General features: G+C 34.2%; 1 long non-coding RNA gene across 6 annotated transcripts in view; it reads left to right on the plus strand.

The window, feature by feature from the left end:
- Nucleotides 1–14,089, plus strand: part of LOC105377261 (uncharacterized) — a 148,733-nt gene that overhangs the window by 26,903 nt on the left and 107,741 nt on the right. The window contains exons 1-2 of one of the 6 annotated variants that reach the window (XR_938846.1): nucleotides 2,574–2,650; nucleotides 3,923–4,007. The exons of 4 other annotated variants lie outside the window; for them this stretch is intronic. This is a non-coding gene — a long non-coding RNA (uncharacterized LOC105377261). Of the gene's footprint in view, nucleotides 1–2,573; nucleotides 2,651–3,922; nucleotides 4,008–14,089 lie in introns of those variants that run through there. One more of the 6 variants, XR_938843.2, reaches the window with a different exon arrangement.

The following is a 14,089-nucleotide window of genomic DNA, read 5'->3' on the forward strand; positions in this document are numbered from 1 at the left end:
GAAGGAAACCATGTTATGGCATGGTGGCTGACCTACTCATAAAGAGAAAAACAATTGAGTATAGAGTAAAAATGTAAAGATTTGATACCTTATTATTATTCTCCTTTTTAGCTAAAATAATTTAAAAGGCAATAAATTACCAGCCTTTGATGACTTTGGGCCCTTTCTTTGTTGTCATAGATATATATATATATTATATAGAGATGTAGATATAGACCAGCAACAGCTGTTGCATAGATTTAAACTTATAATCAAAAGTTAACATCATCTTAAACAATTGTAAAAAATATAGGTATTTGAAAAGTTCATAACGAAGTATAATTTCAAAATCCAGTATCTTAGATAAGGCTTCATCTTTTTTATCTTCATTATTACAATAATCTACTAACCAGTCTCCTGTCACCTATTGGGATTATCTCCTTTTAATAAATTATTTAATGAAAAAATTCTAATATCACTGAAACAATCAACATTATGTCAGCTTTTACATAAAATCCTATATTAGCTTCCTGGAATCACATTAATAAATCAAAGATTCCTAGCTTTGGCTTACACCTTGCCATTTTCCAATCAGATTCATGTCTTGCTAGAAATCTTAGATCAAGCCTTGCTGGTGGACTCTCCACACTCTATATTTTCTCTCACCAAATCTAATTTGTGCATTAGACTCAGTTTGGATTTCAATTCTTCTATGCAGTTTTTCCTACTTGCATAGTACCTCCTCATTATCCCTTGTCCCACAGGCTAGATTAAAGACTTTGTAAACCTCACATTGTTTTCCTCTATCTAGTACTTGCCATAGTTAAATGCATTTCTGTAAATTCAGTAAAGTTACAGGGCACAAAATCAACATAAAACTCAGTAACATTTCTGTATACCAACAGTGAACAATTTGAAAAAGAAACTTAAAAGTTATCCCATTGACAAGAGACACAGATAAAATAGCTAGGAATTAACTTAACCAAAGATGTGAAAGATTTCTATAATGAAAACTGCATAACACTGAAAGAAATTGAAGAAGACACAAGAAGTCAAAAGGCTTTCCATGTTCATGAATTGGAAGAATCAATAGTGTTAAAATATCCGTAAGTACCCAAAGTAATCTACAGATTCAATGTAATCCCTACGAAAATGCCAAAGATATTCTTCAGAGAAATAAAAAAAAATCTAAAATTTATATAGAACTACAAAAGACTCAGAATAGCCAAAGTGTTCCTGAGCAAAAACAGCAAAACTGGAGGAATCACATTATCTGACTTCCAATTGTATGATAGAGTTATGATAAACAAAACAGCATGGTACTGGCATGAAAACAGACATATAGACAAATGGAACAGAAAATTGAAGCCAGAAATAAGTCCATACACCTATGGGGAACTCATTTTGACAACAGTGCCAAGAACATAAATGGGAGAAAGGATAGTCTCTTCAATAATTAGTGCTGGGAAAACTGGATATCCATATGCAGAAGAATTAAACTAGACATTTGTCTCCTGTCATCTTACAAAAAATCAAATCAAAATGGATTAGAGACTTATATCTAAAACCTGAAACTATGAAATTACTAAAAGAATATACTGGGGAAACTCTTCATGTCATGGGTCCAAGAAAAGATTAATTTTACTTATTTATTTCTTCATTTAAATTATTATTATTATTTCTAATAGAGACAGAGTGTCTCTCTGTTGCTCAGGCTGGATTGCAGCGGTGCCATCATAGCTCATTGCATCCTCAAACTCCTGGACACAAGTGATTCTCCTGCCTCAGCTTCCCAAGTATCTAGGACTATAGGAGCATGCCACCACACCTAGCTAATTAAAAAAAAAAATTGTATAGATGAGGTCTCACTGTGTTGCCCAGGATGGTCTCAAACTCCTTGCCTCAAGCAATTCTCCTGTCTTGGGCTCACTAAGTGCTGGGATGACTGGTGTGAGACACTGCACCAAGGCCTGGGCAAATGTTTCTTGAGTAATACTCCAAGAACACAAGCAACCAAAGCAAAAATGGACAAATGAGATCACATCAAATTAAAAAGCTTCTGCTCAGCAAAATAAATAATCAATAAAGTTAAGAAACAACCTGCAGAATTGGAGAAAACCATTGCGAACCCTCTATCTGACAAGGGATTAATAACCAGAATATATTAAAACATTTAAAAAATCAATAGGAAAAAAATCTAATAATGCATTTTTTAAATAGGCAAATAATCTGAAAGGACATTTTAAAAAACAAGACATGCAAATGGCCAACAGGTATTTGGGAAAGTGCTTACTATCATTAATCATCAGATAAATGCCAATCAAAACTACAATGAGACATCATCTCACCCAAGTTAAAAGGGCTTGCATCCAAAAGAACAGCAATAATGAATGCTGGTGAGGATGTAGAGAAAGGGGAACCCTTATACACTGTTGGTGGAAATGTAAATTAGTACAATCACTATGCAGAAGAGTATGGATGTTTCTCAAAAAAATAAAAATGGAACTACCATATGATCCAGTAATTCCACTGCTAGATATACCCCAAAGAAAGGAAATCAGTGTATCAAAGAGATATTTGCACTCCTGTTATTTTTGCAGCATGATTCACTCTAGAAAAGATTTGGAATCAACCTAGGTATTTCTCAACCAAGAGTAGATAAAGCAATGTGGTATGTAAACACAATAGAATATTATTCAGCAATAGAAAAGAAGGAAACCTTGTCATTTGCAGCAACATGGATAGAACTGTGAAGTGAAATAAGCCAGGCACAGAAAGACAAATTTTCCATGTTCTGATTCATACGTGGGTACTTAAAAATGAAAAAAATTGAAGTCATAGAGATAGAGTGTAATGATGATTACCAGAAGCGGGGAAGGGTAGTTAGGGGGCACGGAGAGTGAGGATGGTTTATGGTTACAAAAATATGTTTAGATAGAATCAATAAGATCTAGTATTTGATAGAACAATAGGGTTACTATAGCCAACAGTACTTTATTGTGTATTTTAAAATAACAAAAAGAGTGGAGTTGGAATGATTCTATTATAACACAAAGAAATGATAAATGCTTAAGGTAATGCTTGGTGTAATCATTACACATTGTATACCTGTAACAAAACATCACATGTACCCCTCAAACATATACACCCACTACATACCCACTAAAATTAAAAATTAAATAAAAAATATTTGGTATAAAATACATATTTTTTGAATAAGTGAATTAATGTATGAAAAAACAAACAAATATCAACGTATAATTCCACTAGCAATACTCAATTCTGTATTCAAAACCTTTAGCCTCATAATTGTTTCAGAATTCAGAACTGTTTAGACAGATACTATGTTCAGAAAAGTAAATGGTACAAATGCTACAGGTTATATAAACATTCAGTGCTTGCTGGGATAAAAGTAATAAAATAGGTTAATATTCTAATATTAACCTAGTAATTACCATGTTTCATATGTTTTAAGTATGTTCATTTCCTAGGTGAAAGATATATCTCAAAGTTTCCAACCTTGTGTATTTTTCCAAGAAAGAGATACGTTTTTCTTTAGGAATGACAAGACCTCTTGAATGTTTTCTTTACTAAGTTATCCAATAGTAAACTTATGTTCTCCTCCAAATTTTTAATGATATTTCTGTATGTGGTAATGATATTAATCACCTTGCTTATTAAACAGAAGTAATTTAAAATATGTTTCTCTTTTAATTGTTATTTTAATATTTAACACAATTTATCTTTAAAAGTGATCTTTTAAAGTTATATGTATACATGTAATAAATGTATACAAGTAGACTTTTTCTATTATTCTGAGACCAATATTTCAAAACCAGATTCTGGAATTTCTTTTGGAATAGATCTCAATTTTCTCCCATACATGTTACTCTTTCAATTCATTCCTTTCATTCATTTATTCATTGATTGTGTTAAATGGAAGGTGATTTGTTGGACACACCAATGCTCCTGACACATGCTATTCACTTGGAGCAGCTCCTCTTATGTGGCACATTCACAGTGCAACGGTAAGTCATTTCACCATCTTTATGCTTATTAAAATTAAATCTAATCACTAGAACCCTCATAGCTAACTTACAGAAAGGATAGATTTTGTGTGTTTGTGAGTGTTGCAGGTTACATCAATGCTACTATGATATGGTCTTTAAAACTTTTTACCATAAAGACATTCTGTTAGTCCCTTTGCATTGTTCTAGATGAATACCTGAGGCTGAGTAATATATAAAGAAAAAAAGGTGGCTTTTTTTTTTTTTTTTGGCTCGCAGTTCTGCAGGCTGTGAGAGAAACATAGCCTCTGCTCCTGGGGAGGCCTCAGGAAGTTTACAATCATGGCAGAAGACAAAGGGGAGCCAGCACATCACATGGCCAGAGGAGAAAGAGAGAGAGAAGGGGGAGGCCCCAGCCTCTTTTAAACAATCAATCTCATGCGAACTAATTGAGGGAGAACTCACTCATCACCAAGAGGATGATGCTAAATCATTCATGAGGGATCCACCCCCATAATCCAATCACCTCTCAACAAGTCCCAACTCCAACATTGAGAATCACATTTCAACTTGAGATTTGGAGGGAGCAAACATCCAAACTATATTAGACACGAAAACTGTTCTTAAATTCAAAGAGATTACAGCCTGTGTTAAAGCCCTGCTACAAGGGACTAGAGGAAAGGAATTAAACTGATTCTGCTTTCTCTCACTATCTGGTTGCAGACCAGCAGTCTTATAGCCTGGCTTTGTACATATTGCAATTTGATATAGTAGTTGAAAAGTGGCCAGCTAACAGGGAATTGCAGTAATCAAGCTGTTGGGGAAAAAAAATCGATGTACTGAACAGACTTGCAATCATATTATAAGAGCAACACAAGTAAAGACAAGCAATGGTCCTCTTCTGCCAGCATCAATGTGGAGAGAGTGGAGGGGAAAAAATGACTTCAAACTGCCTAAGGAAAAGATATCATTCAAAAGGCCACTAAGAATCTGAATTCTAAAACCATAAAAATGGAATTTAATCAAATGCCATTTTTGTCAAAATTAAATAAAATGACTTAATTAGGAAGTCACTTATATGAGTTAATAGAACATTTTTATTGTTTGTGTGAGCTAAATTACAAGAAATTTTATCATAACCAGTGTTACAAATTTATGTATACTGCAGGAAAAGTAGCATGTTGTGCTAATGTTTAAATATAGGCAAATGCTAATGAGTTACCATAAATGGTTCAGTTATACAAACTTTCTCAGATATGAGTATCCAGAGTAGTATGGATATTACAAATTAAACCAAATCATATTTGGAGTCTTTCTTTTGTTCACAAACATACTTTGTTTCTAGGAGAATAGGGGAAGGAAGAATTAGGTCAGGAGGATAAGAAGAGGTAGAAAAATGAATGAAGAAATGAAAAGAAGAATTACACACAAACCAGTGTGGACTACTCTCTTGGGGGCAGCTAAGTCCTAAATCAATCTGAGGCTGTTCTTGAAATGCAGGCATACGTTTCCAAGCATTATATTAAAATTTCATGATCAATAACGCTGAAAGCAGCAGAACATACAAGCAAAATAAGTGCTGACAATTCACTAGCATACGAATTTAATAAAATGTCATCCTCCAGCCTCAGCAGTAGTGCCAGGAGGAGATGACCATCTTGATTAGAATCTGTCAAATGAATCTCTGTTTGTCAGGTAATAATAAACTCAGGATAGTACCTTTTGTTCCAGGTTTTGTTTACTCTTCAAAATACAGCAGTCAATTCATATTCTTATATAATTTTACTATTTTTACACTGAATAAACAAATCAAACATAGACCTTTTTATAATAGAGGAAAATCCAATATTATTTACCTACTTTTGTTCTGTGTATAGATAACATCGAGACGTGAGAGTTAGTCTTCTCTGTATATGTACTCACATAAGAATCTGTACATGTACTCACACAACACTCAAATATTTTTCAATGAAGTTTCATCATCTTTGGAGTCTTACCTGTTATTTGTTAAGGACATTGAGAATGTTGCCTTTCATCCTTACTGAAAAATTCAATACAACATTACCTAAGATATTCTGCATGGAACCAGGCACTAAATGGTAAATATTTACAAAAATAATCAGTTTTGGCTTAAAGGAAACTCCAGTCTATTTGAAGGTAATTGATAATGCCAGGTAAAAGCTGTGAAAAGCATGGTGATCAGGGATATATCATATCTGAGTGACTGGCCAGAATATGATTTCTTCTGTTCTTTCTGTTATTAAATTAATGGTTTGAGAGAGAGCAAAAAAATACTTGGAGAGTTTAAAAAATCTTTTCTTCACAGAAATGATATATTACTATGTTTTTATCTATTGCCAAATGTTGATATAACTTTACAATTACTCTTGAAACAGCATATGGGAACAGTCTGAGAGTTATTCTTAAATGCTGAAAGTTGCTTTTGAGTAAGTCTACTTACCAATTCCCCATCTTTTTCCTAATTATCATTCTATTAAAGCATCTATTCAGGGACTGATTCAGTTGTTTATTCATTTAATCAATATTCATTTTAACAACCTACTATGTACCAGTCTTTAAACTTAACAACTGAAGAGTCTCTTGCATAGACCACTACTGAAAATTATCTGAAATTTGCTCCATTCCTATGAGTTTGGGTGACACTATGAACCTACCCACTTTTGATGTCTTGTCTGTCTACTATTCTGTCCACTACTGGGGCTTGTCTAGAAAATCAGTTTCTGAATTTGCAAGGGTGTTCAACTGCTTGAGATAGTTTTAAAACAGATTTAAACACATGTTGAAGATTACTGAGAAAAGTTTCAACTTCGAAAGCTGTGGTTTTATGAAAAGAGAGTTTTATGTAATAATGTGATGTATTTTTTCTTGATTATAGAGTTGGCTTAATATTATTTATTCTCCATTAATAATACATATATTTTAAATGTTTGAATCTGTCTCCAGAATGAAAAGTGGTTTTATAATTTCTAAAAAACAGTTATGTACAAGGAACACTGAATGAGCTCTAGGCAGGTGAAGTATTAGAATGTGTTGCATGGAAAATTTACTAAGAATACCTGGTTATAATGGTCTATAGTTTCAGGGTGCTTTGGAGGATATCACAGGATAATTGGTTGAGCCCAGGAGTTTGAGGCCAGACTGGACAACATAGTGAGTCCCCATCTCTTAAAAAAATTAAAAATGAAAAAAAATTTACTAAGTAAATTGAAAGGAGATGAAAGTATTCTATAACTAATGAAGAGAATGGAAGTAAACAATGAAAAGTCACTAAAAATATACTCAAATTACAATATATTCCTTTCTTTTACCAAAATGTGCTCTATTCCATTCAAGAGTGTTTCAGGTATGGCATTTTGACATTTTCCTTCTGGAGTATAACAAAGTCATACATAATAAAGCATAGTATATTAGAAAAAAGGACCAGGCGCAGTGGCTCACGCCTGTAATCCCAGCACTTTGGGAGGCTGAGGTGGGCAGATCACGAGGTCAGGAGATCGAGACCATCCTGGCTAACATGGTGAAACCCCATCTGTACTAAAAATACAAAAAACTAGCTGGGCATGGTGGCGGGTGCCTGTGGTCCAAGCTACTCGGGAGGCTGAGGCAGGAGAATGGCGTGAACCCAGGAGGCGGAGATTGCAGTGAGCCGAGATCGGGCCACTGCACTCCAGCCTGGGCGACAGAATGAGACTCCGTCTCAAAGAAAAAAAAAAAATTCAATTATATTTTATAAGAGTGGTGCTTGACCTTATGCTAGTTTAAGAACAGTCTTAATATGGAAATTATAAGTTGACTTCTTATTCATAATCTGCTAGGTCAATCAGCAAGGTGAACTTTTTGGTGGTTGTTTTTGCAACACATTTAGTATATAATTAACCCCTTTATGTATATTTCCCTACAATTTTTCTTGTACTATTGATAGTAAGCCACAGTGCATAGGAATTGAATTACAACTATAGAAACTCTTCTTGCTATCTCTTACTTTTTTCATTACTTATTGCAGGAGAAATGAAAAGCAAGTCCATAACCATAAATTTGTCATTTGTCATCCCCCAGTCTTCACAAAACCTCATATTTACTTCCTCTTTCAGCAGAGTGGCTATCATTAGTGACTAACAGAATAGAATAATAATAATTTTTTTTCACCAACTCTACAGATGACCTTCTGAAAGTTTGTTGGTCTCAAATTTAAAGATTTGTTCCTTGAATGTAAATGTCCTGATTTCAAAAAATGTATCAGGACTTTGAGTATTACACTAGAAAGAGTGGTTTAAAATTCTGCAATTTATGAACATTATAATTTGGGAAACTTAATTTATTTAGGTAAAATAAAGTTTACTTACATTTAAATATGGAACTTAATTTTCATGGTTAGACAATGGAAAAACAAAACACAACAGCGACAGGTCACTTTTGTTCCTTAAACATTTCTTGCTCTGTTTCTCTTCCTCCTTCTTTTTCTAATCATTGTATTTTGTGAATAAGGAGTTATACTACATATTTCCCTTCTTTTTCTACCTGTAGCAATGTTTATACATTTCCTAGCTTTTATACTGAGAAAAGCAAAGTTATATTAATAGCGGAATCTGTAAATACAGGTCATGAAATTCATACAGTTTTGTTGAAATCAGTAGCTTTTTAGCAATGATGACTATATACATGGCATACACTTCTGGATTTATATAAAAGTATACTTCGTTGATTGCCACATGTAATTTAATAACCTTGCCACATCATATGTATTGATCTGTATGCAAATATGGTACTTGTAGTCCAAAAGCCTATTTTTTAAAGTTAATTTTTAAGCATACTGACTATTAATAACAAAAGTTAAGTTTAGGCCAAAGTGTGGACTACCTTTATAAAACAGATGAGCATATATTTATGTTGCCAAGTCAAATTAGCAGGTCCCAAGAGAGATATAGATTACTCTGCCAAAAACAAAGCAAATTTTTTATTTCTTGACAAAACTAGGCAAATTCTGCATATTAAATCCATGTGTGTATGTGTGCATGTGTGTTATCATCTCAAAACCTCCAAAGCCAAAGCCTGTTTATTGAGAGAAATGCCAGAAATAGTGAAAAGTGGACGGTAAGACAATCAATCTTGAGAAGGTGTATATTTTCTTGAAAAGAATTTTCAAAAGGAATCACAGAATATTTAAGATTCAATAAAAATACAGAATAATTAGAAGTGGAAATAGATTCATATCTTAAGATAAAAAAAATCATTAAACCCAAAAATGAAATGAGGAGTTATGATTTTAATTACACTTATGGTTTCCACCTGTGTATATTGTTCCTCATAGCCCTAATTCATTTGCTAATTGTATGATGGGACGGTTTTGCTCTTCTTTTCATTTTCCCTTTTATTCAAAAATGTTTCTGTCTTCATCCTAAACTCTCAGTTCACAAAGCTATTTTTCTATTTGTTATATTTGTGAGGAGAAACATTCATTTAGAGAAATCTTCCGTTTTTTGAAGCGTAATTTTTCTATCAGAGAGGTTTCTTTGGTTATTTCTGTGTTTTTCTTTAGGATTTCTAATTTTATTTTCATTTGCTGTAGTATCTTGGAATCATTGCCACACCATTCCACTTGACATATCTCTGACATAAGTAGCCCTATCTAGCCATCATTTCTGGCTAGACACATGTGTGTGTCTGTTCTTTGATATCCTTTCCTCTTCATGTTAGCCTTGCCTATATCTTACCTTTAGAACTTCTGTTTAAATACTGGTCATGGGTAGCCTCGGTCATTGGAAGTTAGCCTTGTTTTCTATCTGCTTTACTATTGCTGGGTGATATTGGAATATGGAAAGTCATAAATTGGTGGGGTTTATTGTTCTCTCTAATATTTTTAGAATAATTCTGGAGTTTATTATTCACAGTGAACAGTATGTGCTATTTGTATAGGTATCGCCTCTCAATTTTGAGTAAATTTTTACCCAAAATCCATTATGAATCATCAGGCTCCAGTTACTGACAAGGTGTAGGCAGGGTAATGACACTGATGGGGTATAATCACTTATAGTAAAATTTATTTCCCGTAAGTGATGAAAACTTAACATGGGACTTTTGTTCATCTCCTGCTTCCTTAATTATGACCTTGAAGATACTTGTTTTATTTTTTATTTTTTTATTATTTTTTATTATTTTCTCCTCTGTATATGTATTTCTGAAATACATGTAAATGATATTGGTGTATTCAACCCATGTGCCATTTCTTAACTTTTTCTCAGTCAGAGACAATTTATAGTATAGGCCCTTTATTTAGTTTGAATTTTGCTAGTACATTTTCCTTTATATATATATATATATATATTTTTTTTTTTTCTGTTTTAATAGAAGGAGGGTTTGGGCTCTTGTTTCTAATCTTCCCTCTTTCATCTATAGAGACAATTCAATGCACATGGCCAATCACTCCCTTACCTGGAAGTCTGAAATAACTGATGATGATACGTAGTGTATTAAACAAGAATCAGTTATTATGAAAGGATGCTTAGAGTCATATGATAGTCAGTATCTTAATTCCAACTGTGACATATTTACTGCCAGTGTCATAATAGCTATAATTAAATGTTTCTGTTCCGTCACCATTTTACATGACTGAATTCTAAGCACTGTGTCAAGAAAGATAAATATATTGTCCTGTTTCTAACTGACCATCACCTGCTAAAAGTATGAAATAGTATTTCTAGTTTCCACTGTGACAGATAAGGAGCTTAGGAGTCATCACTCCATCCTAAGAATAAGTAAAAAGTTGAACAAACTCAAAATCGACAATTCTTTCAGTATCTGTTTGAAAAATGAGGTCACAAACTGCTTGCCCCCAAAATTCAAGAGACAAACATAAAAATAGGAAAAATCACAATTTAATGGAAAAGGGACCCATGAGTAGAAACCGCCACAGAAAAACCAGTGCTAGGGTAGAAAAACCGCAACTGTAATTGACAAATTGCTGGAGGCTCAGTGTAGACAAGTCTAAGATTTAAAAACTCCAGAGAAAGCCAGTCTTATGAAAGACCCGACACTTCTGGGAGTTTTAACTCCAAGAGTCTTAGTAGGTTCCTCACAGTGAGAAAGCCATTTGAAATATGCCCAGAGCAGAATTCCCAGAACATTCTGTTCTTCTTAATAAGGTCTACCCTTAAGAGAAATGATTTTACCAAAACCCAACTGACCTAGGGAAAGAGACATACTAAATTCCAGGCCCATCTAGCCTTCCTGTATCACCTAAGGAGGGGGAGGAACTGAGAAGCATTTGTGAAGTTCACAGTCCAGGGACATAGACTTCCTAAGAGACTGAGACCTAATTATAGATCTACAAATACTTTTCCCTTTCCCACATCTTAGCACAACATCACTAAAGGTCTACCTGTCACTGTTCCTTTGATTTCATACATCATTGCATAGCTTTTCACAATATTGCAAAGGGTACTAAAAGGCATAAAGTGTAATTTGAAGACACAGAACAAACATCAGAACCAGATACAAATATAGCAGGAATACTAGAATTATCAGACCAGGAAAATAAATAACTATGATTAATATGCTAAGGGGTATAGTCTAAAGCAGACAACACTCAAGAACAGATATATCATGTAAGTAGAGAAATCAAAGTTCTAAGAATTAAAAGAGATGCTAGAATTTTAAAACACTGTAATAACAATGAAGAATGCCTTTGATGAGCACATTAATAGACTGGACCTGGCTGAAGCAAGATTTAGTCACCTTGAGATTATGTCAGTAGAAACTTCCAAAAGTAAAAAGCAAAGAGAAAAGGGACTGGGATAAAAAATGAAGCGGAATATCCAAAAACTTTGGGACAACTACAAGACGTATAATATACATTAAATGGTGATACTGGAAGTAGACGAGAAAAGGGAACAAAAGATAATGTTGAAGCAATGACAGCTCGAATTTCTTCAAATAAATGTCAGGCACCAAATCAAAGATCCAGAAAGCTCAGAAAATACTAAGTAGAACAAATGCTTAAAAAATAAATAAATAAAAACAAACCCCTACACCTAATTATGCTAAATGCCTAGAATTACATAGGACTTTTCAGAAACAATGCAAGCAAGTAAAGAGTGAAGAAAGAGTGGAATAAAATGCTTAAATATTGAGATGGTGGTGGGGGGAGGGAGGAACTACCAACCTTGAATTCTGTATACAGTAAAATTATCCTTCAAATGTGAAAGAAAACTTTTCTCAAACAAAAAATGGGCCATGGCCGGGTGCAGTGGCTCACGCCTCTAATCCCAGTTCTTTGGGAGGCCAAGATGGGCAGATCACTTGAGGCCAGGAGTTCAAGACCAGACTGGCCAAAGTGGCGAAACCCCATCTCTACTAAATATACAAAATCGGCTGGCTGCTGGGGTACGTGTCTGTGGTCCCAGCTACTCAGGAAGCTGAGGCATGAGAATCACTTGAACCTGGAAGGTAGAGGTTGTGTTACAGTGATCCAATACCACACTACTGCACTCCAGCCTGGGCAACAGAGCAAGACTCTGTCTAAAAAAAAAAAAAAAAGAAAAAGAAAGAAAAAAAGGGCCAGGTGTGGTGGCTCACATCTACAATCCCAGAACATTAGGAGGCCAAGGCGGGCAGATCACTTGAGACCAGGAGTTCAAAACCAGCCTGGGCAACAGGGAGAAATGCCATCTATACAAAAAATAAAAATTAGCTGGGCAGGATGACACACACCTGTGGTCCCGGCTACTCGGGAGGCTGAGGTGGGACGATTGCTTGAGCCCTGGAGACAAAGGTTTCAGTAAGCTGAGATGGTGCCACTGCACTCCAGCCTGGGCTACAGAAATTAAATACTCCATCTCAAGAAAAGCAGGGAATGAATTTGTTGCCCACAGACTTACCGTTCAAGAAATGTTAAAAGATGTTTTTCAGAGATAGAGAAAATGACGTAGATTAGAAACTTGGATCTAAATAAAGAAAGGAAGAATATTAAAGAAGGAATAAGTGAAAGTAAAATAAAAGGATGAGCTATGCAGCTATCAGTTTTATTTTATAAATCACCTAAATTCATAGAAATTCTGAGGGTAGAAGGAGATTTGCAGTATGAAGGAAGATCTTGACGTGATTTGTAAAAAGCAAAATCATAGATGAGGACATAAGAAAATAATATATTTAATTTTATGTGTCAATGTGACTAGGCTATGGTGACTAATATTTGATCAGTTGTTATTCTAGATGTTTCTGTAAAGGTGCTTTTGAGCTAAGATTAACATTTAATTCTGTAGATTCTGAGTAAAGGAAATGACCCTCCATCATGTGAATGGGCCTTATCAAATCAGTTGAAGGCCCTAATAGAATAAGACTGACCACTCTGGAAGAAGAAAGAATTCCGCTGGGAGACCACTCTTGAACTGACTCTGTAACACTTTCTTTGGTCTCTAGTCAGCTGGCCTACCCTGCAGATTTTAACCTTGACTCTGTGTGTGTGTGTGTGTGTGTGTGTTTGTGTGTACACATATATATACACACACACACAAAGCTGGCCTATCCTGCAGATTTTAACCTTGACTCTGTGTGTGCGTGTGTGTGTGTGTATATATATATATATATATATATATATATAAATATATATAGTGAAAGAGAAGGATCTATATATATACACATATAAATATCTGTGTGTGTGTATGGATGGATATATATATATATATATATATACACACACACACACATATATATATATATATCTCGATATATCCTGTTCATTTTTTTCTCAGGTGAATCTTAACTAATACACCAGGAAAACACTTTTGGCTCCATTTGCCATTATCTCTGTCTATGCTCCTCTAGTGCACATATCATTAGGTTAAGAAAATCAATTAGTATAAAAATTCCATAATTTGCCTATAAATACAAAAAGTAAAGAGTATATGGATATCAACTTTTAGCATCTCTGAATATTTTCTTTTAGACATACTTTTTTCCTCTTATTTAAAAAATGTTTTGTAGGTCCTTTTCCTATTTGGTCTCTAAATGCACACATTTTTAATTTCTCAGTTTCTTGTGTGTAATAAAGATTGGCTAAAATTTTCTCAGAGACAAAAACAAGTGCT

This window comes from Homo sapiens, chromosome 4 (genome assembly GCF_000001405.40).
Source record: "Homo sapiens chromosome 4, GRCh38.p14 Primary Assembly".
In the NCBI taxonomy this organism is placed as follows: Eukaryota; Metazoa; Chordata; class Mammalia; order Primates; family Hominidae; genus Homo; species Homo sapiens.